The 27,398-nt window shown below is 42.8% G+C and overlaps 1 pseudogene across 1 annotated transcript; it reads right to left on the bottom strand.

Annotated features, from left to right (window-relative positions):
* Positions 1-761: 761 nt before the first annotated feature.
* FAM153DP (family with sequence similarity 153 member D, pseudogene) lies at positions 762-26,524 on the bottom strand (annotated as a pseudogene). Its single transcript, XR_004837542.2, has 15 exons — positions 26,437-26,524; positions 24,238-24,318; positions 21,906-21,964; positions 19,186-19,342; positions 18,646-18,676; positions 16,924-16,994; positions 16,435-16,459; positions 11,867-11,927; positions 11,216-11,449; positions 5,966-6,120; positions 5,663-5,849; positions 4,686-4,819; positions 3,837-3,906; positions 1,846-1,934; positions 762-795 (listed from the first exon to the last, which is right to left on the bottom strand). The product of XR_004837542.2 is annotated as a family with sequence similarity 153 member D, pseudogene (transcript).
* Positions 26,525-27,398: the final 874 nt, after the last annotated feature.

Genomic DNA, 27,398 nt, shown 5'->3' with positions numbered 1-27,398 from the left:
CTTTGCATTACATACTGTTTAATCATCAGTGACATATTAATAAGCAAAAGATAAAAACTCCTGCCTCCTAAAACTTACAGTATAGCAGCACTTTATTTTACTGAATAAAACAAATCCTTGAAAATCTGCACGACTTGCTCCTACGACTTGCATGAAAGTTTCCAGAAGGTTCATGTTCAAGCAGCTTTGCTAAAGCAGAGGAAACTTCCACTTGTCTTTCTTACAAACTGTCGCAAAACACACCTAAAATTTCAACTCAGGAAATACAGTCAGCTTTTGATTAGTCTGCACTTAAGAATGTCTTCCCTTGATCCAGTAATGTGAATGCAAATAAAACATTGTAACTTATACCAAAATAAAAATTCTGAATAGATCATTTTTCCATGATTCAGTGTCTTGTTCATCTGTTTAATAAATAAGTCAGTTACTCTCCAACTTCTGTCATACTCTCAAAAGTCATGAGCAATCCAGAAGATCCATCTCTCGTATTTATTTTTATTTTCTTAAAAATTCACTACACTGAGACCAGGTGCGGTGGCTCATGCCTGTAATCCCAGCACTTTGGGAGGCTGAGGTGGGCAGGTCATGAGGTCAGGAGATCGAGACCAGCTTGGGCAACATGGTGAAACCCCGTCTCTACTAAAAATACAACAATTAGCTAAACGTGACGCACCTGTAGTCCCAGCTACTTGGGAGGCTGAGGCAGGAGAATCGCTTGAACCTGGGGGGCAGAAGTTGCAGTGAGCTGAGATCACACCACTGCACTCCAGCCTGGGTGACAGAGCAAGACTCCAGCTCAAAAAAAAAAAAAAAAGAAAAGAAAAATTTACTAGAAGGGATTAAAAACAGATTTGACCAAGCAGAGGAAAGAATTAGCAAATCTGAAGACAAAGCAATTGAAATAATCCTGTGTCAGAAACAGAAATAAAATGGTTGCAGGAATATCAACTGACCCTAAGGGACCTGTGGGACACCATCAAGTGGACCAACAACAGTTTGTAAGAATCACAGAACAGACAGAGGGACTAAAAGAATACTTGAAGAAATAATGAAAATCTAAGAAACTTCCCAAATTTGATTTAAAACATTAAAACATTATAAATATACAAGGCTTGGCATGGTGGCTCCCACCTCTAAACTCAATGCTTTGGGAGGCCAAGGTGGAAGGGTAGTTTCAGGCCAGGAATTCAAGATCAGCCTGGGAAACATAGGGAGACCCTGTTTCTGTGAAAAAATCATAATTAAAGTTAAAAGCTGGTATGGTGGTGTGCACATACAATCTCAGCTACTCAGGAGGCTCATGTGAAAGGATTGCTTGAGCCCTTTCAGCCTGGGTGACTGAGTGAGACCCTGTCTTTTTTTTCTCTTGTTTTGAGACGGAGTTTCACTCTTGTTGCAATGGTGAAATCTCAGCTCACTGCACCCTCTGCCTCCTGGGTTCAGGTGATTCTCTTGCCTCAGCCTCCCACGTAGCTGGGATCACAGGCACGTGCCACCATGCCGAGCTAATTTTGTATTTTTAGCAGAGACTGGGTTTCTCCATGTTGGTCAGGCTGGTCTCAACCTCCGAACCTCAGGTGATCTGCTGGTCTCAGCTGGCCTCCCAAAGTGCTGGGATTATGGGCATGAGCCACTGTGCCTGGCCATGAGACCCTGTCTCTACAAAAACTTGCTGTCAAAAAAACCACAAAGCTCAACAAACTCAAAATAGGATAAATTCAAAGTATCTCACTCAAGATAGTTTATAATCAAGGTATCAAAAGACAAAGAATCTTGAATGAAACAAGGGAGAAGTACTCCTCACATACAAAGGATTCTCAGTCAGATTATCAGTAGATTTCTTACCAGAAACCTTGGAGGCCAGAAGGCAGTAGGGTTGATTAATTCAAAGTACTGAGTGGGGAAATCCTTTCAACTAAGAATCTTAGATCTGACTGTTAGGGTTGAAAGGTGTCCACCGAAGTTCATGTCAAAACAAACAAATAAAAAATCATTATGAGATTTATGCATAGAGCTTTTTTCTTTCTTTCTTTCTTTCTTTTTTTTTTAAGCACATGGGCTATCATTAGTGTTAGCGTATTTTATGTGTGGTCCAGGACAATTCTTCCAATTTGGTCCAAAGAAGCCAAAACATCAAACAACCCTGATAAATGTACTTAACATTACTGAACTGTACACTTAAAATGATTAGATGGTAAAGTTTATGTTACATATATTTTACAATTTAAAATTAAAAATATATTTAATATGTACAAAACAGAGATGTACAGAATAAAGCAAAAAAGTAAGAATTCTTTTAGTAAATACTGGAAAACTTGGTCTAAGTGAGAAAAAAGTAACCCACATGCAAAACTCACATCATAGTTTATAAAACTATAACAGTATTAGGAGAAAATGCTCGATGGTGGGGAAACCACAGATGGTCCTGACCACTGAAGAAATGGATCAGAGGACAATGACTGATTTTAATAGGTGAATAATATTTATGTAATAATAGGTAATAAGATACATGTAAAAGAAAAAAAGAACAAAATGGGAGAATTCTGAAGCAGGCAAAACTCTTAAAATCCAACTCTACAAATAACTTACACAAATATAAAGCTGATACCTAAAATTCCCTTGATAATTTTATTTTTGGGACTTTTCCTTTTTAGGTAAGGAGCACTTTCAACACCTGATAGCACCATGCACCTGACACTCCCTGCAGTTGACATCAGTTGGTGGGGTGGGGGGGGGGACCCTCTCTTTTTTCTTTCCTTTCTTTCTTTCTTTTTTTTTTTTTTTTTTGAGACAGAGTCTTGTTCTGTCACCCAGGCTAGAGTCCAGTGATGAGATCTTGGGTGACTGCAGCCTCTGCCTCCTGGGTTTAAGCAATTCTCCTGTCTCAGCTCCCAAGTAGCTGGGATTACAGGTGCATGCCACCAGGTCCAGCTAATTTTAGTATTTTTAATAGAGACAGGGTTTCACCATATTGGCCAGGCTGGTCTTGAACTACTGACCTTGTGATCCACCTGCCTTAGCCTCCCAAAGTGCTGAGATTACAGGTGTGAGCCACCACACCTGGCCATCTCTATTTCTTATACACAGTAATATTATAATAAGAAAGATATCAATTTGCTTAATATGTAGCCTGTTTCTGAGTTCTGTAGATGTCATTCAATAAGATAAGAAAGCTACTGATCTCATCAAATCAAGAACACAATACAGTTCCCTCAGGTATCAAAAATTGCATGGCCTCAAAATATGGGAAAGATAATATTTTATGAAATGGTGTATTTTAAGGCTGACCTACAGATAGGAATGTTTCAAGCAATAAAGCTTTGATGCAGATGTTCATTCCATATCCTGTCCTGATCCTCACCTGCCATAGGCCAGCCTGCACTTGCCTTCACACTATGCCTTCCTTCATGGCTTCAGGCTAAGATTGCCAGGAGGCTTCTGTACATGTGGTCATCTTATGGATTAAACACTTTTTTTGTTAGTTTTGTTTGTGTTTTAGAGACAGGGTCTCACTGTCGTCCATCCTGGAGTGCAGTGGCATGATCATAGCTTTCGGCAACCTCCAACTCCTAAGCTCAAGTGATCCTCCCAACTCAGCCTCCTGTGTAGCTGGGACTACAGGCACACGGCACCATGCCCAGCTCATTTTTGTGTTTTTAGTAGAGACGGGGTTTCACCTTGTTGGCAAGAATGGTCTCAATCTCTTGACCTCGTGATCCACCCACCTCAGCCTCCCAAAGTGCTGGGATTACAGTCATGAGCCACCACACATGGCCCAGATTAAATATTTCTTTAGAAGATGGACTAGAAATGGGTCATCCAAAATTTTTACTTACCTATGAAGAATTCCAATCTTCAAAATCTTTTAGAACTCAATCAGAACTTGAGAACTTCTTTCAGTAGGTGCTGTGATTCAATAACCAGAATTCTGCTTTAGTTTATAGTTCTACAACTATTTCTGTCATTTTCCTACTAAATTACATGAAGGGAGTTGTCTGCATATGAGCTGCACCACCGAGCAGCATGGCTATCAGTGAGAAGGTGCCTTCTCAGTTAAAATGTCCTGACCAAGTTTCCCCAGAAATTTGTGAGTACTCAACTGTATTAAAACTAAATATATTGTTTTTAATGACAAATAGTCACTAATTAGTAAAATGATTACTGTGCTATAATAGAACAAGTCCTTAGCCCAAAATTAAATGGCCACAGATTCATACAAAGCTTATCAACTATCACATATCACATTTTGACAAAAATCAAGAAGACAAATGGATGATCTCTTCTTCTTTTTCTTCTGTGAGACAGGGTCTTGCTCTGTCACCCAGGCTGGAGTGCAGTGGCACAATCACATTTCACTGCAGCCTCCACCTCCTGGGACCAAATGATCCTCCAACCTCAGCCTCCCAGGTAGCTGGGACCACAGTCGCATGCCACCATTCCCAGTTAGTGTGTGTGTGTGTGTGTGTGTGTGTGTGTGTGTGTGCGCGCGTGCTTGTGTGCATGTGTAGAGTCTCCCTATGATGCCTAGGCTGGTCTCAAACTCATGGCTCAAGCAATTCTCCATCTTTGGCCTCCCAAAATGCTGGGATTACAGGCATGAGCTAAATCACACTAAATAAATTATATTTTAAAAGTAAAGTCAAAGGTAGAATTTAAGAACAAAGGAATTCTATTTCTATACTTACTAGTCCCAGGTAGACAAACAACATGGCCTTCCTGAGCCTCCTCCTGAATCTTTTCAGAAGAGTGTGAGCCATGAGAAATCAGAGCTGTTATTTTCTGGTTGAAACTGACACTTTAGGCTACTGTTTTCATTTGCCTGTTGAAAGGGTAACTCAGCTGTACTAATCATTTAAATTAAAATTAAACATTTTGAAGGGGAAAACATGGGGAGCAGACAACATCTACCTTACTCAAGGAGGCAGGTAATCAGTGTAAAAGGAATGAGAAATCACCACTGGAACCACGGGTTTAATCAATGTTTCCAGGAGGCTTCAGCAATGACGCTGAAACCAGCTGGTGAAGGTTGCCAGGGAATAAGATGTTCACAGTGCTTTGATATCTCATCCCACAGATGACTAACAACAAAAGGGAAAAGCTACTTCACAAGGAGATGTCCAGTTGATACTACCTCAACCAAAATTATTAAACATAGCATCAACAATCGTGGGACAAACAGACTCAAACATCTGGTGTGAGGCGTTAAGTACACAACACTGCCTAATCTGAATTAGGCATTATTCCTTGTTTAATCTGGATCCACTCATGAGAACACTGTTTAATCTATTCTTGCCAAAATGATCAAACTATTCTAGTCAGGAGAAGAAAAAAGCAATCAGATATATCTAGATTATGGGTCATTCTACAAAACAAAGAGTGTAGATTTTTCAAAATATTTCATGTATTGAAAGAAGTACTCCAAAGTAAAAGAACAGAGAGACATGATAACCAAAGGCAAGGTTAATCTTTGATTAATCTGTGGATTTAAAACAAAAATAAAGAAAATTTTGGAGACAATTAGGTAAAACTGAATATGGGCTGTACATCAAATTACTGTATTACAGTTAGATGGTAGAACTGTGATTATGTAGAAATATGTCATTATTCACAAGAGATAAATGCTGAAGTGTTGGGGTAAAACATCTTGCTCTCTGCAACTTACTTTCAAATGATTCAGAGAAGAAAGTACTTATGGAAAGAGAAAGAAAATGCAAAGGTGGCAAATGCTAGCCACTGGTTGATCTGAATGAAGAATATGTAGATGTCCATTGTCTTTGCCTTTTAATTTTCTGTAGGCAAGGGAAAGATAGGAAGGAGGTAAGGTGCAGGCATTTCTTATCAATTCATACCTGTAAAAAAACAAAGTTAAAAGAAAAGCAAAGGCTTAAAATTCATGTAAACACCCAGTGAGATTAATAGTAATTTTCTGTCAAATTTCTGAAAAGCCATTAAGACTGTAACACACCTGACTAGGATCACTTGCAGGTAACTTAAAGTATTTTTTCTAGAGGTTCCAGTCCTTCTACTTCATATGTTTTATTCCATCATTCCTGGAATTGCCAGTTGTTCAAAATAAAGCTCTAAATGATCATTGTAGGACATTTCATCATCAATATCATCCTTTAATAAAATGAAGAAAAAATGAAACAAGCTCTAAAGTAGTGACTAAACAATAAATAATTTGTCATAAAAAGGGCTAAGACATAAATGAGTCAATAAAATTAAGAAAAATAAAACGGCTGTAAGGTAGTGACTAAACAATAAGTAACTTGTAATAAAAAAGACTAAGACATGAATGAGTCAATAAAATTAAGAAAAAAAATTAAGCAGGCTTTAAAGTACTGACTAAATAATTTGTAATCAAAATACCCATCAGACATAAATGAGTCAAAGTGTACAATTTATTTTTTTTGGAGATAGAGTCTTGTTCTGTTGCTCAGACTGAATGCAGTGGTGCGATCTCAGCTCACTGCCATCTTCACCTCTCAGGCTCAAGCCATCCTCCCATCTCAGCCTCCTGAGTAACTGGGACTACATGCATGCACCACTGCACCTGGGTAATGTTTTTTTTTTTTTTGGTAGAGATTGGGTTTCCCCATGTTGTCCATGCTGGTCTCAAACTCCTGGACTCAAGCATTCCAGCTGCTTTGGCCTTTCAAAGTGCTGGGATTACAGGCGTGAGGCACCGCACCTGGCCTCTTTCTATATTTGACATGAGAAAACTATTATAACTTCAGTCAGTTATAAGTCATTATAAAAAAAAATTAACCTCTTTGAGAGGACAGGACAGAAAGATCCTGACATGTTACCAAAGCTTATGGTAGGATAAATGTGCCATCACAAATGAATGGGAAGAGAGCAGGCCCTTCAGAAAATGGTGTGGCAAATGGTTACCTCTATCAAAAAAGTACAGATGAGCCTATCCTAAGAGAAGTAAAAGGAATAAAGGGAGGAAGGGAGGAGGGGGTGGGGGGAGAGAGAGAGAGAGAGACAGACTGCAGAAGGTTTCAATGTTATAACACCCAGCTCAGCAAGGACAAGATAAAACAAGAGCTCTCAGTCATGGCCTAAGCTGGCAGTGCCTTTTTAAGAGGTTAATTTTGCAATTAGCATTAACAGTCTCAAAAACACTCATCACCTTTGACTTAGCCATTTCACCTACAATAATCTAGCATACTAAAACACTCAAAGATTGGATACATTTAGGTCAATAATTCTTCATCCATTAATTACACAATCACAAAAAATTTAAAAACTCTATTGGCAGCAAAAGCTGTCCTCAATAAATGTGATACTATTTACAGTTTCTACTTATACCACTCAGCTGGCCTTTAAAGCCATGCATACTTTTAATGTAAGTAGCCCCAGCCTACTTCTCTGGGCTTATTTACCAATGCGGCCTCCCACAGATGCTGTAAACCTGACACAGAAAGTCCCTGGCTCTTCTCCAAACACTGCCCACATGCCTCACAGCAGCACCTTTGATGATACTGTTTCTGCTTCCTGACACGTCCTCCTTCTCCTACATCTAAGGCCTGGCACAGGCCCCATCTCTTTTCATAAAGCTTCAGCCATACCTGCCTCAGAGGTAAATTTCTGACCCCCATGATTCCCAGGCTCATTTTGGTGCTGCTGGGTGTACATAACACAATCTGAAATGTGGTTCTGCATCTCTTCTTTGCACCTGGCTGAAGTTTCAGAGAGCAGAGTCTAAATAATTCATGGCTCCCTCAATTTCTAAACACAGTGCTGTATATTGAGTGGCACCTCTAGGTGACTACTTTGTACTCTAAATGTTAAATTGAGGGATGAGTGAAACCATATTAGGATTAATATACAGAAACAAATTTTTGAATTCCATCACTTAATAGAAGTGGCCATTTGAATGTTGGCATGTAGGAAGAAAAGAGGAGGACAAAGAATCCCCAAAAGTTGGCATCATAACTACTGCCACAAAAAAGGGGAATAAAGCAGAGTGGCAAGATAAAGACCAGGGAAACACAGGTCACTGCAGGACAGAAGAATCTTCCAAGCTTGTCAGTAATGTAAATTTCTCATTTTCCAATAAACTAGTGCGGCATAGGTCACTGTTTAGAGTCTTGTCTTCAAAATGTTTTCCAGCATCAAGGACAACAATCTACAAGAAACAAAATGGTGAGAAAAAGCAGCACACTCATGACTCTGAAGAGCACAGCATAAGGCTACAAAAAGGACCAAGCACCTTCTCAACCTGCAATGTGCTCAGTGTCTGAAATCATAAGTTAGGTGATGAACGGCTGGTAGTTTCACGTGAATTAATAACTTTCCTTCTTGCCCCCATGTTATCTCCCTCATCTGACCCACCCAATAAAACATCCTTAAAAGGCTCCTCTCAAATTCCTTGCAAACATTAGGCTCCTCTCAAATTGCTTGCACATGCTTGGAGAAGCTTGCAGTACAGTTAGTGCACTAATACACAACTGAACTTGAGCAACACAAGGCTTACAAGACAGCAAAGACAACAGCCAAGCTGGGCCCAGCAGCCATCACCTGAAGAACTCTTCACCCATTACGTTGGAGCAAATGATTTCTCTGGAACCAGGAACCACAGAACCCTGAAGGACAAACAGCTGGTGGCTAAGGACTCAAGGCCTGGAGTGAAAATGTAACATTTCCCTCCAAGTGCTTATTTCTGCTATAAACTGGTTTAGTTCTGCAATGAACAACTAGATTTCTAACTGATATTAATATTAATAAACTTTTTTTCTAAAAGACAGAGTCTCGCCCTGTCACCCAGGCTGGAGTGCAGTGGTGCAGTCATGGCTTACTGCAGCCTCAACCTCCCAGACTCAAGCAATCCCCCTGCCTCAGCCTCCCTAGTAGCTGGGGCTACAGATGGATTCCACCATGCCCAGTTAATTAAAAAAAATTTTTTTTTTGTAGGGATGAGTTCCCACTATGTAGCCCAGGCTAGTCTTAAACTTCTGGGATCGAGCAATCCTCCTGCCTTGGTCTTCCAAACTGCTGAGATTACAGGCAGTAGCCACTGCACCAGGCCATTAACACTTGTATATGTAAAATACATACAGAATATAAACCACTACAAAACATAAATACAGTCCATCTTGATGTAACTTACCGTACTATGGATTTGTTTTAAAAATGACGTAAAAGTCATTAAGAAAATGAAAGCATGAAAGAAGTCTATTAAAATTACAAAAACTCAAAACTGAGTAAACAAAACTTCAGAAGGAATGAAAACAATTGGAAAATAACTTCAGGAAAAATGTAAAATAGAAACAACACAAGAACAATTTGTGCCCTCTAAAAAACAGAGGTTAAAGTCAGGTAAAAAAATATTTTTTTAAGAGGAAACCTCGCTCTGTCGTCAGGCTGGAATGTAGTGGCATGATCTTGGCTCACTGCAACCTCTGCCTCCTGGGTTCAAGCGATTCTCCTGCCTCAGCCTCCCGAGTACCTGAAACTACAAGCATGCGCCACCACGCCTAGCTAATTTTTGTAGTTTTAGTAGAGACGGGGTTTCACCTTGTTGGCCAGGCTGGTCTCAAACTCCTGAACTCAGGTGATCCACCCGCCTCGGACTTCCAAAGTGCTGGGATTACAGACATGAGCCACGATGCCCGGCCAGGAAAATATTTAAAAACAAATTAAGCAAAGATTATAAAAGTTTTTGGAGTAACACAGTTCCCAAAATGATCACGATCCACATCAATCTGAGCCATGTTGACATCCCCACATCAAGCCCTTCCTGGTGTTCGAGGAATTTGCAACATAGACAGAGGTGCAAGGGTCACTGGGGAGGCACAGAGGTGGAGGGAGGAGGGGCTCCCTAGGGTGGTGCAGGTCTCAGAGAGGTCCTTGGGCACTGGAAGGTGACCTTGGGCCCCTGAGCTCCTGACAGTCAGGTCTACTCAGATGTCAAGGCACTGAGCCCTGTGTGCTGCTCTCTGCTGAGGTGTTATCTGTCCACAGAGAGTGTCTGTAAGTGTCATGGAGGAAGAACTGGACCTGGGCGCTCACATGGGCACCTTCAGGGGGCTGGTTCCCTGGAGAGCAAAACAGACAGAGAGAAATGGGGGAATTTCGAGGATTCCAGGATCAACAAGCAGAGTCCCATGCCCCTGGGCCCTAAGAGGAGCAGGAGCGCTCATAACACAGGGTGGGGGTGGTGACTCTGCCTTGCCACCCAGATCCTCTGTGCCATCCAGACAGAAGAGCTGCACGTTGAATATGCATAGCTTCCTGGAGCACGTCATTTTTATTGCCTAATAAGACCTCGTCTTCCTAGCATTGCCACCGGACCTGTCTTTGCATTGTAATTTTTAAAATTATGCTTTGGTAAGACATAAATTTCTCATGTTCATATATTCTAGCAGAAAAGGGTTACAGAAGACATACATTTGAAAGAGTGAAAAGCAGTGTATATGTACACACACAAACATTCATATGTGTACCTTACTTCAAGATTGAAAAATACATTTAAAAAACAGAGGCTCCCTAAATCATGCCCTCAACCCCTCCCAGGTGAGCATCATCCTGAAATGTCTTCAGGGGTTTGTTTGGTTGGCATTTGGCACAGATACAGAACAACTGATGCCCAAGTCAGTGCTCTCTATGTACAGAAGCCTCCAACCTCATCTTGAAAAATGGGACCATGAGGCCATCCCAGACCCCCACAGAGGCTGAAGGACCCCTGGGATTGGAGGCCCCCAGTCCCCCACAGAAGCTGAAGGACCCCTGGGGCTGGGCACATTTCAGTGCTTCTTAGATCCTGCCATGTCCTCTGCTTGATGCCAGGACCGACTGAGTGCCCACTGGCCTGCAATACTGGGCCGAGTGGGCTGCTTGCTTGTGTGACAAGGAACTGGGGATGCCCCCATCCCTCTCACACCTTTCCCAGGAGGCCTGAACTGGGGGGGATTCATGTCAACCCTAGTGTCTCCTCAGGATGAACTAGTGATGCTCCCTGTTGGCCTCAAGAGGCTGGGAGGACAGAGCTAGGTTCCCCGAAATGAGATGGTGGTGAGATGAAGTGTCACTGCAGACGAATAACAGAGTGCACAGCCCTTGGAATTCAGCACATGGTGGTCTGACCAGCACCTCAGTGTCTCCCTCACTACGCAGCCTGTGGAGGGCTCAGCCCAGCAGGCTCAGGGGCTGCTATGGAGTGGGTGTCTGTTTCCTGGAGGATGTTCTCAGGGCATCCTTCACTTACCTTCAGAGGTCTCTAAAATAAACTAAAAATGTCCCAACAGTTCAGGACATTCTTCCTGGGCTTCCTGGTTTTCCTGATGGGACAACAAGAATGTGAGTGTAGCCATGAAGAACATGGGCATGTCTGTGCTTCCCTCATCATTCTGCCTGCTTCCACTTCCCCTCACACTTCCGCTTCCACTTTTGTCTTTTCTGTTGCTTCTTCTGCAGGTGCAGAGGAAGGACTTGCTGACATCTGTGAGAAAGAGAACAATTGTGCATGTCCAGAGACGCCAGTGCAAGAAAAGTTCTATCTGTTAAGGGGGTGCCCAGAGCAGACCAGATGTTACTGGGGGTCCCTCCAGCAGGGTGGGGTCCAGCTCTTCTGACCCCAGCCCAGTCCCCTCCCTGGACCCTGAAGTGTTGTTCAGCAAGATTGAAAGCTGCAACCTGGGGGCCAGTGAACAGGGCAATGCCAAGGCAGTGGGCAGGAGGGCTGGAGAGGATTTTATTGACACTGAAGACCCAAGAACCTCAACTGTGGGATGAGACCAGGTTCTTCAGGAGAACAATCAGAAGAGAGGGAAAGAGGAAAAGGACCAGAGCTAAAAAAGGAGCTCATGAGTCAGAAAGAGGATAAAAGAGAGAGAGCATATAAGAGGAGATCAATTACCTGCTGGTGGCCGCCTGTAATGGTGGAGTCTTCCAATTCTGTGAAGCAAGCATCAGAGTGTCTGGAGGAGCAGTGGTGATGGGGTGGCCATAAGAAGGAAAGGGGAGAGTTAGAGTCGAGACAACCACTCAGACCCTGCTGTTCCAGGGCTGTGGAGCCAACCCCAGAGCCTCTGATGTGCTCATTTCTGGAGCCTTCTCCACAGCCTGTATCATTTCTTCTGTGCTATAAGGGAGGGATCTCTGACTTCCCACATACTTGCCCAGCCCTCACATACCATCACTGAGCCAAGGGAGGGGAAGCCGCATCATTCTGTTCCTCCAAGAGGCAGCCACCCTCTTCACAACCTTGTGCATGACATGGAATTCCCTCCCTCCTCGTCCTGTAGGGCCTGCTTCTGTTCCCTCATGAATCCCATTTCCTTTCTCCATGTGGACCTCCACCAGTCCTACTGTTCTCCAAAAGAAGAATATCAGAAAGAAGGTCAAGGCTTCACTTCCAGGGCCTACAATCAACCGACGGATCTCACCCTGGGTCGGCAGCACCTCCCACAGGCTTGGGGTTGTGTTGGGGCCTGTGGGAGACAATGATGGCTGATGTCACAGATACAGTGACTGTTCTATGCCTGGAATGACCTTAGAGACTTGGAAAATATTCAGCCCTCAAAACAATCCCATCAGCTTCTGAATATTTGGAAACAATGGAACAGAATTCAGAGTAAAGCCCCTTGTCCCAGTTGCCTTAATCTGCAGGTGAGGCCAGCAGTTTTCAGCACAGAAATGAGGGGGCCCTCCCAGGGTTTGCCTGAGCTGTGGGAAGACTAAGAGGGAGGGCACCTGGCAGACCTGACACAGAGAACAAGCTGGGCCTGACAGGAGTATGGGGAGCAGGACAAGGCTGCTGGGCCAGAGAGGAGGGTGTGACAAGATAAATGACCCCGTGCCAGCTGCCCAGAGGCTCTGCCCTGGGCCCAGTGGATTCCAGGGACCAGGCTACACAGACGGTGAGAGCCACTGCCTACAGCAACACAGCAGCCCCTCCACATATATCCCCTAGGATTCCTGCCAGCCACAGAGGGCCTTGAGCTACAGCTGGACTCGGGCCTCTCCAACGAAAACCAATTTAGGTTTCATTCAAAGCCCAAGGATTTGGGATTGGATGGGACTGGGTGAGGAGTGGAGGCCAAAAATGTGCTCAATCATGTGTTCGGCCCTCAGGACTCCAGGATGCTGGGGCACACGTATGAATTCCAGAGGAATGATTCCCTATGTCATCCAACCCAGGGAGCACCCTTAGAGCAGGAGCAGATGGTGAGGACAGGACAGGAAGGTGCTGTTGCAGGTCCTGAGAGTGTAGAGAAAGACAGTGGGCTCCTTTCATCTCCTGGCACATGTATGAAGGACTTTACCTTCAGGATTACGTAGCACCTGGAAGGGGCTCTGTCCCACCCCACACTCAACTTTACACCTGCATACTCATCTTGTGATCTCTATTCACAAAAAAATGCTACCTCATCAAAACCCAGGGCTCTGGTGCTTGCTGTGGCAAAGGCAGAAATGATCTGGTCCTCTGCAAAATGTAATCTTTAAACACCAGAGCAAGAAATGATGGTGACAAACACAACTCACACAAAGCCCATAAGAACACAACTCTTACAACTTTGTCATTAAGATACAAAAAAAAAAAAAAAACCCAAGTCAGACTTCTATACCTGTTTCCTTTCATATTTAGTCACTTCATTGATCCCATCCTAGGCTCCAAAACAAGTGTAACCCAATCTCCAAGAACGCTCTCTCACTGGTCAACCCTGGGGTGTTGGTCCCTACCTGACCAGTCTATTTCCTCCTGGATGGATCCAGAGGTAGTGCCCATGAGCCCATGTACAGAGACACAAACATCAACATGACTGCTTTGTCCACTATGATTCTCCCTGGGCTCTGTGAACTCAGGGGACTTTATGAAGGCACTGCTCACAGCTGTGCGCCTTCAGGTGAGACAGAGGACCTGAAATAATCCCTTTCAACTGTTCACCGACACTGGCTCATAGCATCTCTTACCTCCAATCTGAGAACCTGAGATTAAGCCTTGATGCACATGCACTGAGTTAGGTGGGTGCACTGAACAGAACCTGGGCCAGACTCCCAGCAGCTGCTTCCCAGGTGATTCTGGGAGAATGGAGATGGTCTCTTAAGAGTAGACATTTGGCAACTGGGAACTTCTAGCATGGCTCTTGTGAGGAGGTTTTGAATTTTTTCATTTATTTAAATATGAATGGGCACATATGCCACTCAGGACCACACTGGAATGCACAGGTCTAAACCCAAAGGTGAGGAAGATGTGACTCTCCCCCCTGGTGATTCCTGGCAGAGTGGTTTGCTGCTCTGATCTGATCATTTATGGATAGGTGCTTCAGGGGCACAGGAACAAGCTCCAGGCCCCCTGTGAAGTGCAGGGATGCCACAACAAAAATAAAAAAGCCTGGTCCAGCAAAGGAGGGCTTGTAAACAGAAAAAGAGCATCTTCTGCAAGGAGAAAAGGTGAACCAATGTAGCCAGAGTAGAGATGAGGGGGACTCTTCATTGACTTCAGGACCCCACCCTATTCTCCTGTGACCTTGGATCAGAATCCATTCAGGTTTCTAGATTACCATGAGAAAAAACAGATTGAAGGAGATGAGCAGGAAGCCTTTTCACACTGGCGCTGGATCTCAGCAAAGGGGTTGGAAGCATTGGAACATTACTGGGGCCCAAGATGGGCTGCCAAGGGCTGAGCTCTGGGATGACAAGGAATGAGGAGGACATAGTCCTTGCCCTCCCATTGACGAGCCATGGCCAGGATTCATCAACACATAAGTAAAACAAAACAGAATTTGAGACTAATAATTCCAAGACTATCTCAGAGAAACAGGAAAAGTCTTGTCTTATAGGTCACATGGGAGAGTTGCAAGGACCACCTGGACTCTGGAGCAGCCCCTCTCCCTTGGCTGAGTTCACCTTGCACTGAAGCAGGATCTCTTCTCACCTCTCTTGCATCTAGTGTGGGGCAGCTTTCCTGCCTGAAAGCTGACACTCCTTCCAGTCACACAGGGTTCTGGGCCAAATCACACTTGGCCAACAGCAACTACACAAGGACCAGCTGTCAGGTGACTCCCAGAAGCAGGTGAAAAATAAGAGCTGATCTCTGTCCCAGCCAGAGACCAGGCCTGGGAAATACTTTGTATCTGGCTTGACCCTGAAATCCATCCCTGCTGATCATGTCCTCTCTGGGCAAAATTGGATGTTTCAAGAACTCACTTGTGTTCTCTGCCTCTCATTAATTTCTGGTGGTGCCATTGCCATCAACATACAGGAAATAGAGAAGACAAGAAACAAGAAAGTAGCTTCTCTCTTCAGGCTCTTAGGAAGACAGGCCAACAGTGCTAAAACCAGCTATGAAGTTGGAGCTTGACCCATTCTCCGTCAGTTGTAATATGAACATCCCGGCCATGCCCAGGTGATGATGCAGAACTGTCTCTGCTGATGTTGCACCTTGGCTTCCCCCTGTGGCTTTGTTGCCCTCATGCCTTCCTTCTGCTCTTCCAAATCGTGTTCCTTTTCAGGCCCAGGCCAAGGCTGTAGCCTACTGTCTCTCTCATAGAACCCACTGGACAGCACTCTGTGAATTCTTAGAGCCTCAATGCTGGTAACGCTGATTTGTGCCTTTAATCACACACAGCAGAGGGCCCCAAATACCACAAAAAAAAAAACCTATATTTTAGAGATTAAAGATGACTGGAGGAAATGGGCTATGAGGAGATAGTTTATGAGGTTAACGAGGGGCATTTTAAAATCACACCAGCCTCATTGTTTTAAAATATAGGATAAGTATTGACACCTACAGAGCAATCAAATTCAATTCATATACAATATATTTCCACCAAACGCAAGCTCCCAAAAGAAACTCAATCCAGAATTTGGCTAATTTTATTTTCATATAACCTTCAGCCAACCACCTTGACTTGTTTTTTGCAAAGACCTTCAGAAGCAAACAAAAACTTCTGTCAACAGTGGGCTCAATGGGAACATCATGGAGCCTCTGCTGTAAAACAGCCTCATTTGTCTTTCCCCACCTCATAATGCATGAGTCACCCTCTATCCTCCTAGGAAGGCAAGTGCTTGCCCTGCCAGTAACACCCTAGGGCAAGCCTTTTGGTTATCTTTTCATGTTGCTGTGTTTCCTGAGCATAGAAGACGGAAACCAGAACTAGGCTGCATGATAGAGGCTGAGCCTGTACATGACCTTGACATTACGTATTTTGGACACTCACCACATTAATTCAAAAAGACACGCAGCAACTCAATGCGCACAACCTCACCTAACTTCAGAGACCACAGTTGTTCCCAGGGACTGCAGAATGTGACCATCATGCTTTATCTGGAACAACAATTTCTCCCATCACAGCCTATGCCCTCATTCATGAGGGGAAGCTCCACTCAGGCTGCCTGTCTACAGGAAGGCCAGAGAGACAGTGGCACATTGCTCATCATCTGGATTACTCATCAGTATGAGAGGGGTTCCCCAATACATACCCCTTTGTATAACTCCTGAGGATTTCTGTAATGACAGAAAATAAATTGCTATGAGCATCAGACCATGCTGTGTCCTGTGTGCACAAAACTTTGTTCACTTAGTGACATTAGAAAACAAGACGGAAACCAGTGTTGAAAGGAACCCAAAAGAAGAACAGAGCAAATCGACTCATATTAAAGACACAAATTTTTCTCGGAGGATGTTTCCTCTCAAGTCCGTGTTGGTTGGCAAGTAAGTGATTTTGCTCCAAAGAGAAAACAAAATTGGTAAGGCTCACTGCCGCACAATGTGTGACTGATTCTTTCATTTTCTCCCACTGTCTTAAATCAAGCCTCAGGGGGGACAGACTCTCACTTACAATTCTCCCCAAGGACATTGCGTAACTAATCTAAGATATATATTGCCAGATTCTCATATCTTAATTTAATCCAAATAAGATAAAGCTAAGAAAGCAACAGTTTTTCTCAGACAAATCCAGGTGGCCTGACCTTCACATCCTCTGGGTCCTCCTCCTCTCCGTTGTAACTGGACAGCTCCTGTAGTAGATCCTTCATCAGAACTAGGAGGATACAGAGTGACCATCAGCACCTTGCTGGTGGTGCTCATGAACAATTCAGTAACATTGCTTGAGGTGGGTGTGGGAGGAGGATAGCAGGCACAGGAGAGATGCAGGGAAGAAAGGGAATCAGGGCCCTTGGCTTTCTAGCTCCAGACCAACTCGTAAACATGAAATAGCCAATCTCAAACAGGGCCCTTCCTGCAGTGCCGGCTGTGTGTCCCTGGCAGCCTCTTAGGGCTCCTCCATCCTAATCTGACCTGAGCTAACTTGCCCTCTTATTGATCCCTACCAAACTCATTTCCTCCTCACAATCAATCCACAGGTACTGCTGCTCTGTATGTCATCACTCTAGAAGATTTTGCACTGAATAAGAAGCAACTTTTCTTAAAATAGGAGATTTAGTTATTGCCAAAAGATTTCATTAAAAAATTTTTTGTTATAAGGCAATTAAACCAAGATTTGAAAATACTCAATTATCCTACCATTTAAAGATGACTCCAACTTAGCACATGACATTTGTTCTTCCACTCTTCCTTTTCAACACAATGTGTGTGCACCATGGAGTTCACTGCTCCTCATGCTTACAGTGACTCCAGCACAGAGACAGTCTGTCATAGGGAGCAGCGAGGGGGACGGGGTGCAGACACTGACCGTCTCCAGCCGAGCTGTGTGGGAGATTCCAGCAGGGAAAATGGGTCCCAGGCTAACACCCAAGTTGATCCTGGAGATTTTATTGGATGCTATGTCTTTGGATAGGGTTCCACTGAATTTCTAAGACTTGTGGTGATTATCTCACTAAATACAACAGAATATGCCATTGATTATTGTCTGCTTTTGAACAAGAGCTGAGGAATGACTTCACCACTGTAGACCAAAAGCCTGAGGACTTTGTGTGTTTTACATTAGTGATCACACTAAATCCCACTGGGCAATGTACCAACTCAAACAAACCCTGGGTTAGCTGACCGTTGAGATCATCCAATAATGATAGTGTTTGGGATCTGAATAGATTTTCATTCTTCCACATGCACACAGAAGTGCTGGAATAACTTGGCCTAGCAAGAAATTATACTAGGGCTTTGTGACAAATTCAGTGTAGTAGTCCATGACATTAACCTTCCACTCATTCCCGAGGTCACACGTACCTCTTCCATTTAAAGGACCAAGAGCTTGGGAAATTCGACTCTGCACCATGTCCATCTGAGGACTGGGGATATTAAACTTATCTTCAGGTACAGCTGTGGTGGAGGATGAATGGGTTGATCCATGCAAACTGTGCCGTTGTGATGCAATTTTTCTTGCACATTGATCCTCGTGTTGTGCTTTGAACATGGGAGTATGTTTTCTGGGGAAATGCACACACACTCCCAAAGACATCCACAATCATTCCATATAGACTCTCTCCTCTGTCCCTCCCAACCCTGATGTACCACCCCACCTTACGTGACACTGTTGCTTCCAGGGATGACAGTACCGTGGTTAGAGTTGTTTACTGGACTCTCAGTATTTTTTTAAACCAAACTTCACAAATCTCATTTCTGGCAGAAAGCTCAAGCCAGAGTGGCTCTTGAGCAAAAGCAGGCAAAGCAGTGCCATCTTTGCAACACTAACATTTTGAACCTAAAAAAAGAGATGATCCCAGAATACTTACTCTTTGCCAGTGTGGCTGGGTCCCCGCTCATCTACAGAAAAATAACAAAACACTATGAGGGTCAGACCAGGCTGTGTCCTTTGTGCACAAGTCTTTTCTTCACTTGTTGGTGTTAAAAAAATATGGTAAATAGTGATTGAGACAATGGCCCTGATATCTAGAAGACATTCCTGGAAAGGCATAAGAGTTTTGTACTGAATTTTCAATTGTTTTTGTTAGACAATTCTAAATGCTTCTCATAAGAAGGCATTTATCTTGAGGAAAATGCCTGCTGACATACGGTCTGTAAATGTGGATGCCACCTGAAACAATTTTTTAGTTGATAATTAAGTCTGACATTTGCCCACCAAGAAATTCTATCAGTCACCTATAGTGTACATGGTAAGATGTGTACATCTTAATTCAATTGTAACAGAGAGAAACCGAGAGAAATAAAATTTCCATTTCAGAGGAAAAAACACGACTTTGCCATGTGAACATTTGTGGCTTCCTCAGAGGATGTTTGCCCTGGCATATCCTCCTCCCAGTCTTCCAGGTCACCTGGGAAACAGAGTCACTATAAGCACATGAGCTCCACGGAGTGAATCCCTCAGGTGATCTTGGAGCTGTGGACACGGGGCTGGCGTGTGTGGATAGATGTGTGGAAAGGTGTGTCCACAGCACAGACTCAGCTGCTGCCAGTCCATCCTCCATGGTGCTGAGGGAAGGCAAATGGTGAAGGAAGGCATCAGGAAGGCCACAGAAGACAGAGCCTTGGTCCTGTAGCTAAGGCAACCTCTTTGACATTAAATAACCCATCTCAAACAGGGCACACCACACAGGGTTTCCCTGTAGCATCTCATGGCTCCTCCTTCCTAATCTGACCTGAGATAACTTGCTCTTCCTTCTTGATCCCCTTGAGGTCATTTCCTCCCCAGGATCCACGTGTCCTGCTGCTATGTTTTTCGTTTCTCCTAGAATATTTTTTTTTTTTGAGATGGAGTTTTACTCTTCTTGCCCAGGCTGGAGTGTAATGGCGTGATCTTGGCTCACCGCAACCTCCACTTCCCGGATTCAAGCAATTCCCCTGCCTCAGCCTCCTGAGTAACTGGGATTACAGGCATGTGCCCCCACACCTAGCTAATTTTGTATTTTTAATAGAGACTGGGTTTCTCCATGTTGGTCAGGCTGGTCTTGAACTCCTGACCTCAGGTGATCTGCCCTCCTTGGCCTCCCAAAGTGCTGGGATTACAGGCGTGAGCCACCGTGCCTGGCCACAATTTGTACAAGATAAAAAGCTACCTTTCTTCAGCAGGAGATTTAGTTCTAGCCAAAATATTCTGTGTATTCATTAACCTTCTGTTTTAAAGAAGACTAAACCAAGATTTGAAAATACTCAATTATCCTACCATTTAAAGATGACCCCTACTTGGCCTGTGATATTTGTCCTTCTGCTCTTTCTGTTAACACAGTGTGTGTGTGTGTCATGGGGCCCGCTGTTGCTCATACTCACACTGGCTCCAGGACTGGGACAGCCCTTCATGGGTGGCAATAGGTGGGGATGCTGACCTTCTGTTAGCCAGCTGTGCAGAAGATTCCAGCAGAGGAGATGGGAACCAGGCTAACAGCCAATTGGCTCCTTGAGATCTTGTTGTGTGCCGTGTCTTGGATATGTGTGCTACTGAATTGGAGCATTTCTAACGTTTGTGGTGATGATCTCATTAAATACAATAGAATATATCTGTGAATGTTCTCTGCCCTTGAGCAGGGGCTGAGGAATACCCCATCACTTAAGACCAAAGGCCTGGCAACTTCTTCTGTATGTTTCATATTAATGACCACACCAAAGTCCACTGTACAATGAACCTACTCAAACTCTGGGTCAGCTGACCATTGAGACCATTCTATTGTGGTATACAGTGCTGGAGATCTTTATAGGCCAACATACTTCACATATATACATAGATGCTAAGGACTCTGTGACATGGTGACAAGTTACACCAGGGCCATGTGATAACTTCAGACTAGCAGCCCACAGCATCACCCTTCCACCCATTCCCGAGTTCATCTATGCCATTTCCACTTAGGAGAACAAAAGCCTGAAAAATTCATCTCTACATCATCTCCACGTGAGGACTGGGTATATCAAACTTAACCTTCAGCTACAGCTGTCATGAGGAATGAATGGGTTGATTTTTGGAAAACGCAGTGGTGATGAAATGTTGTTTTTAGAATATCAATCTTTGTGTTGTGCTTTGCACTTGGGAACATCTTTTCTGGCGAAAAGCACACAAACTCACAGAGACATTCACAATCACTCCACATTGACTCATTCCTCCATACCTCCCAACCCTAATGCACAGCACCTTCCTCTATACAAATGGCACAGTTCCTTCCAGGCACTAGAGTCAACGGTCACATTTCTTGACCGGGTTCTTCACTTTTGAAGACAAAAGTGCTTGAACCACATTTCTGGCAGGAAGTTCAAACCAGAGTGGCTCTCCAGAAAAAATGAGGCAAGAAAGTGTCACCTTTGTCAACACTAGAAATTTTCCTCAGCATAGGGGTGATCCCAGAATATGTACTGTTTGTCTCTGTGGCTTTGTCCACCTGCATTTAGAGAAAAACAAAACACTATAAGGGTCAGACCATGCTGTGTCCTGTGTGCACAGGTTGTTATTTCTCTCTCTCTCTTTCTTTGCTGGAATCTCGCTCTGTCCCTCAGGCTGGAGTACAGAGTCATGATCTTGGCTCACTGCAACATCCACCTCCTAGGCTCAAGCGATCCTGCTCCCTCTCCCTCCCCAGTAGCTGAGATCACAGTTGCTGGTCAGCATGCCTGCCTAATTTTTATATTTTTAGTAGAGATGGTGTTTCACCATACAGACCTTTTCTTTACTTGGTGACATTACAAAAACAGATGGGAGACAGTGGTTGAGGCGATGGTCCCAAAATAAAGCCTAGAAGACATTTCTGGAAAGGCACTAGGTTTTTATGCAAGACTTCCAAGATTCTTGTGGTTGTATAGTCAAAATGTTATAAGAAGAAAGCTTTTCCCCTAAAAAAATTCTTTCTGCCATACAGTTCATAACTGAAGGTGCCATCTAAGAATACCATCTGAGATCATTTCTTACCTGGTAATGAACCCTCACATTTTCCCACCAAAAAATTCTGTAAGTCATCTATAATGTACACGGTAAGATTTTCATATCTCAATTCAAATAAAATAAAAAACCAAGAGCAACAAAATTTCCATCTTAGAAACATAAAGAAGAACTTACCATGTGAACGGCTGGGACATCCTCAGAAGAAGTTTCCTGTGCCACGTGCTCATCGTGATCTAGGAAACACAGAGTAACTGTCAGCATATTGGTTCCACTGAAGGAATCCCTTAGGCAAACTTGGGTGCTGGGGGCAGGGGGCTGGTGTGTGTAAAGGAGGTGGGTTAAGGGCAGAAACTTGGCTGCCACTGGGACACCATCCTGGGTGATGAGGGAAGGCAAATGAGACCATCAGGAAAGGCACAGAAGTTAGGGCCTGGTTCTCTGGCTAAGCAACCCTCACCGCTACAAAATAGGCAGAGTTCACACAGGGCAGCATACAAATGCACAGCTGATTTCATGACAGTGTCCCATCACCCCCTTGTGCATTTTGAGGCCTGGTAAATTTCCTTTTTTTGTTGTTGAAATGTTATAATGTCATTTATCTTTTCTGGATCTACATATGCTCCTCCTGCACTTATCATCCATTTTATTGGCTTTAAAATCAATATTGTGGCCAAAATACATCATATTTATTATTTTAATAATCAAGTGCACACTTCAGGGGCATCAGTGCCCTTCCCAATTCTGTGCAGTAAACTAAACATAATCCAAATCCAGTTGTCTTACTTTCCACCTTAGGAAACTAGACAAAAAAAGGTGTAGTGAATTGTAAACCAGGCAATCCCCCTCCCCAAAAATATAACAATATTTGCAGAAATCAATGTAATACAAATAATAAACAAAGAAACTTAACAAAACCAAAAGCTGCTTCTTAGAAAAGATCAATAGAATTGGTAAACCTCCAGCCAGGCTAATCACAAAGAAACAACACAATGTACAAATAATATGAATAGAAGAGGAATTATCCCTGCTGATCCCATGAACATTAAGAAAATAATAACAGAATACTTTCAACAAATTTATGCCTGCAATTTTTTAAGTGCAGGAGTGAAAGGTTATTGAAAAGTTTTAGAGTAGGAATGACAGGAAGCACAGTAGCCTTTGACAAGAACCAAGCAGGAAACTTGTGAGATTCAAGTGTCTATGTCCACAAATTTCCTAGCTTAGATGAAATGGACAAATGCATTCAAAGGGAGAAATTATCATAACCACCCAAAGGAGAGATAGATAATCTGGGTAGGCCTCTATTATTATAGAATTTAATCAGTAAGTAATAACTTTAAAAAAACATGCCCACATAATTATACTGGTGAATTCTGCCTAACACAACAGAAAACATAGTCTTACCAGCAAGTGATCAAAATTCTATATATTTACCCAGCTATATTTAAAAATTATGTTCATGTTAAAATCTGCACAAGAATGTGGGCAACTTTATTCATAATTACCCAAATTGGAAGCAGCTGAGATGGTCTTCAGGAGGTGAGTGAGCCAACTAATACTGTTTGATGAAACCAATGGGCTATTGTTCACTGATAAGAGTTATTAAGCTGTTAAGCTTCAAAACAATACAAAAGATCTCACATGTATATTGCTAAGTAAAATAAGTTAGTCATAAGTAGCTACATACTTTATGATTCCAACTCCATAAAATTCTGGAAAAGGAAACCTATAGAGGCAGTAAAATCATCCACAGTTGTCAGGAATCATCAGAAAAGGAGAGGAATTAGTAGATGCAGCTCAGGTCATGTTTAGGATGTGAAATTATTCCATCAGGGTGACAAAGGACATTGTCAGTTTGTCAAAACCCAAAGACTGGACAACACAGAGTGAACCTTGATGCTAACCCTAGACTTCTGTTCATAAGAATGTGTCACTATTGGCTCAGTCACTGATGCTAACCTTGGACTTCTGTTCATAAGAATGTATCACTATTGGCTCGGTCATTGTTACAAGCGTTATCACACTCATGTAAGATGGGTTCACAAAAAAACACTGAGGAAGGTGGGTATATGGAAATTTTCAGTACCACTTCCTCCATTTTTAGGTTACTTCCAAACATTTTGAAGTGATGTCCATTGCTTTACAAATCTGGCAACACTGTCTCAGAAAAAGATCCTTCTTAGTTAATGTTTTAACAATCAGCAAAATATCTACAATTTGCACTGAGATGTTATTTACTATTAAAAGTAAACCCAAACCTGGAATGGAAATACACCTTTACTCCTGTAGTTGTAGCACTAGTAATTGACTTAACACATTTACATATGTACACGATATAAAGAATATAGCATTGCAATTTTATAATTGTCTGAAATATGAGACACTGAAGAATCTAGAAATCATATCATGAATGAACTGAATGACTGAATTTCCAAGATAACTTCTGTTGATGCAACTCTAGAGTGTACACAGCTGTGAAGCCAGTGATGGAGGATTCACTTCTTACACTTGTGGTGGCAGACGGTGGATTCCCCTGGCACCCCAGGATCCACTCTTTGATCTTCAACAGAATATGCTGGGAAATGAACTAAAATAAAGACAACTGTTGATATCTTGCTGCAAAAGATCAGAGAAATGAGTAATTATTTATTCACAGCTTAAATGTTTGATCCCATTGTTCATCATCTGCAGAGCAAAGCCCCCTGAATCTGAGTTGGGCTTCAGAATGAACCTGCACTATGGGTTGCACTTATAACTGTGCAGGCAAATGCCTGTATTGAGATGAGACATTACAGACAGGTAGTAGATTGGAGTGACCAAGAGCATATGGTCTGGTGCATAGGATCTGAGCTCAAGGACTTTTGAGAAGCTGCTAGAACCTGAGGAAGTTCTACAGACTCCACTGTGCCTCTAATCCCTAGTCTGAATGTGGAAATGTTGATAATGGCCTACGTTATGTTAAAAGGGTAAAAATAGTTAAATGGACCTAAAGCCTTAAGATCGGTGCTTCCTAAGTACCATAAAGTGTTCAGTTATTTCACATCTGGAAGAATAAGCCAGGCCCTTGGTAGTGATTAATAGAGAAGCCACTGGGAGACTCCAGGGCAGTGGAGGGTAAAATTAGCTTCATTCTTGACATGGATCTCATGCTTTAGAACTCGTGAAAAAGTTCTATTCAAATTTCCTGTGATGCCCACATCACCCCAGAAAGATAGGCAGAGCAGGGGCTGCCACTCAAGAGTTGATGGTTCAGGGAAGTGAAATGAAGAGAATTGAAGTGACCTGCCTAGAGTCACAACACTGATGAATGATAGATCTGGGACAAGAATTTGGTTGGTTTTCTGGAGACAGAGATCCCTGAACATCTGAGGCCTCTAAATCATGGCCTGGACCCTGAACCTGGAGCTCTTTCCTCTCCCTTTCTCAATCCTCCTGCACCAAGGGCCTTTCGGGAAGGTTGGTGTATTAAAGAGGTGGTGACTCCAGAAAAAAACTCAAATCATTTAACAAAACAAAACTCCTGTCTCTACATTTTAACTCCAGTGCTAAAATGTGGCACTTTCCTGCAAATGAAGCCTCTCTGAGGAACAAATTCAAATGTCTGGTCATCCTACCCAGCACCCTGTATTGTCTGCTGTCTGGCAGTGAGCACTCCTCCATGATCAACTGACCACACCAAGGGACCAAGTTCTGCTTGGCCCCCAAGTTAATTTGGAATGTAGGACATTCCAAACTAACTACCACTTGATGGCTGTGCCAAGAATCAACTTCCCTTCAACTGAAACATTCTGAACAAGCAATTAATGGGAATTAACTGAAAATGTGGCACCCCAGTTTGTTTTTCAGTGGTTTCTTCTGTATCTAGTCTATGAAAGAATGTGGGGGAAAAATGCCAAGTGTGGTGGCTCACCCCTGTATCTCAGCACTTTGGGAGGCCAAGGCTGGCAGATCACAAGGTCAGGAGTTTGAGACCAGCCTGGTCAATATGATGATATGGTGAAACCCTGTCTCTACTAAAAATACAAAAATTAGACAGGCATGGTGGCAGGCACCCATAGTCCCAGTTACTTGGGTGGCTGAGGCAAGAGAACTGCTTGAACCTAGGATGCAGAGGTTGCAGAGAGCTGAGATCATGCCACTGCATTCCAGCCTGGGTGACAGAATGAGACTCTGCCAAAAAAATAAAATGTCCAAGTACTGTGGCTCATGCCTGTAATCCCATCATTTTGGGAGTCCAAGGCAGGTGGATCAGGAGGTAAGGAGTTCAAGACCTCCTTCGCCAACATGGTGAACCCCTGTATCTACTAAACATACAAAAATTAGCCAGGCATGGTGGTGGATGCCTGTAATCCCAGCTACTCAGTAGGCTGAGGCAGCAGAATTGCTTAAACCTGGGAGGTGGAGGTTGCTGTGAACCGACATCACACCACTGCACTCTAGCCTAGGCAACAGAGCAAGACTGTCCAAAAAAAAAATTGGCATTGGAAACAGTGCGTTTTTCTAGAAAAAAATCACTTGAGGCAAAAATCTTGATAGAAGAATTAAAAAATACAAATTGAGTAATAAAACTCTAAAACATATTTAGAAATCTGTGGACAAATAGGAGCTGGGAAAATAAAAAAATAATCAGAATGACATTTAACATACAGAAAAACTGGCACATCTGAAGAAATTGTGGTCAGAAGATGGAAATGAACATACATACCTCTGAGGCAGCAACTACAAACATTTCCCATTGTGAATCCTCTGAGACAACTAAGCTGTGTTTACTGCCAAAGTTCAGTTGCCAGAGTGGCAGTTAAAATGAAAGGCAAGACCTACATCATCAGATCATGTCAGTGACATGTCACAGTAGAATTTTCACAAGCATACATGTCACAATATGGGGCCCAACTGCTGTGATCCTGACCAGCCCATTGTCACATCAACAAGGGGTCACTCAGACTCCATGTTTCATTTCAAAAACTGAATCCCAGACAAAGAGTATTATTCTGTGTGTATGAAACAAATATTACAGGAGGAAAAGGATCTGCCTCTCAAATATATTTGATAGTGAAAATTTAAGGGTAAAGATAAGAAAAGCCAATACATTGAGAATAAAGGGAGATTCCAGGCTGGATGTGAAATGCCATCCCCACTCATTTCTACAATTTCTGAGTCAACAGAGAGTCCTAGCTTCAACGATTCTAAACTAGTTCCAAATTAAATTTAAAATGTATTAATATAAGTTCAATTTTAAAGCCTATCTCTTAGAATATAATTCACAGTAATCAAAACAGATATGAAATGATTCAGTATAACTTTCCATCACTGTTGATTCATTACAAGTTTTAAGAACGATTAAATCAAATGGGTCATTACTGAGGCATAAAAACTGCATTAATATAGATGCTGCAATTTTTTTCAGGGATTATCTAATTGAAGGGGTGGTTAACAGGATTTGGGAAGAAACACATATTACCTGTGTCAATGGAGAATTTTAATTGTCAACAACAGAATAGAAAATTGGGCAGGTGTGCACATATAAATATACACATATATGAGAGAGAGAAAACTCAATTAAAAAATACTAGACAACAGATATATATCTCTTAATGCCAAATTCGGAAAGACTTTTTTTTTTTTTTTTGAGATGGAGTCTCACTCTGTTGACCAGGCTGGAGTGCA

This window comes from Homo sapiens, chromosome 16, assembly GCF_000001405.40.
Source record: "Homo sapiens chromosome 16, GRCh38.p14 Primary Assembly".
Classification (NCBI taxonomy): Eukaryota; Metazoa; Chordata; class Mammalia; order Primates; family Hominidae; genus Homo; species Homo sapiens.
This window is presented reverse-complemented; position numbering and strand designations above follow the sequence as displayed.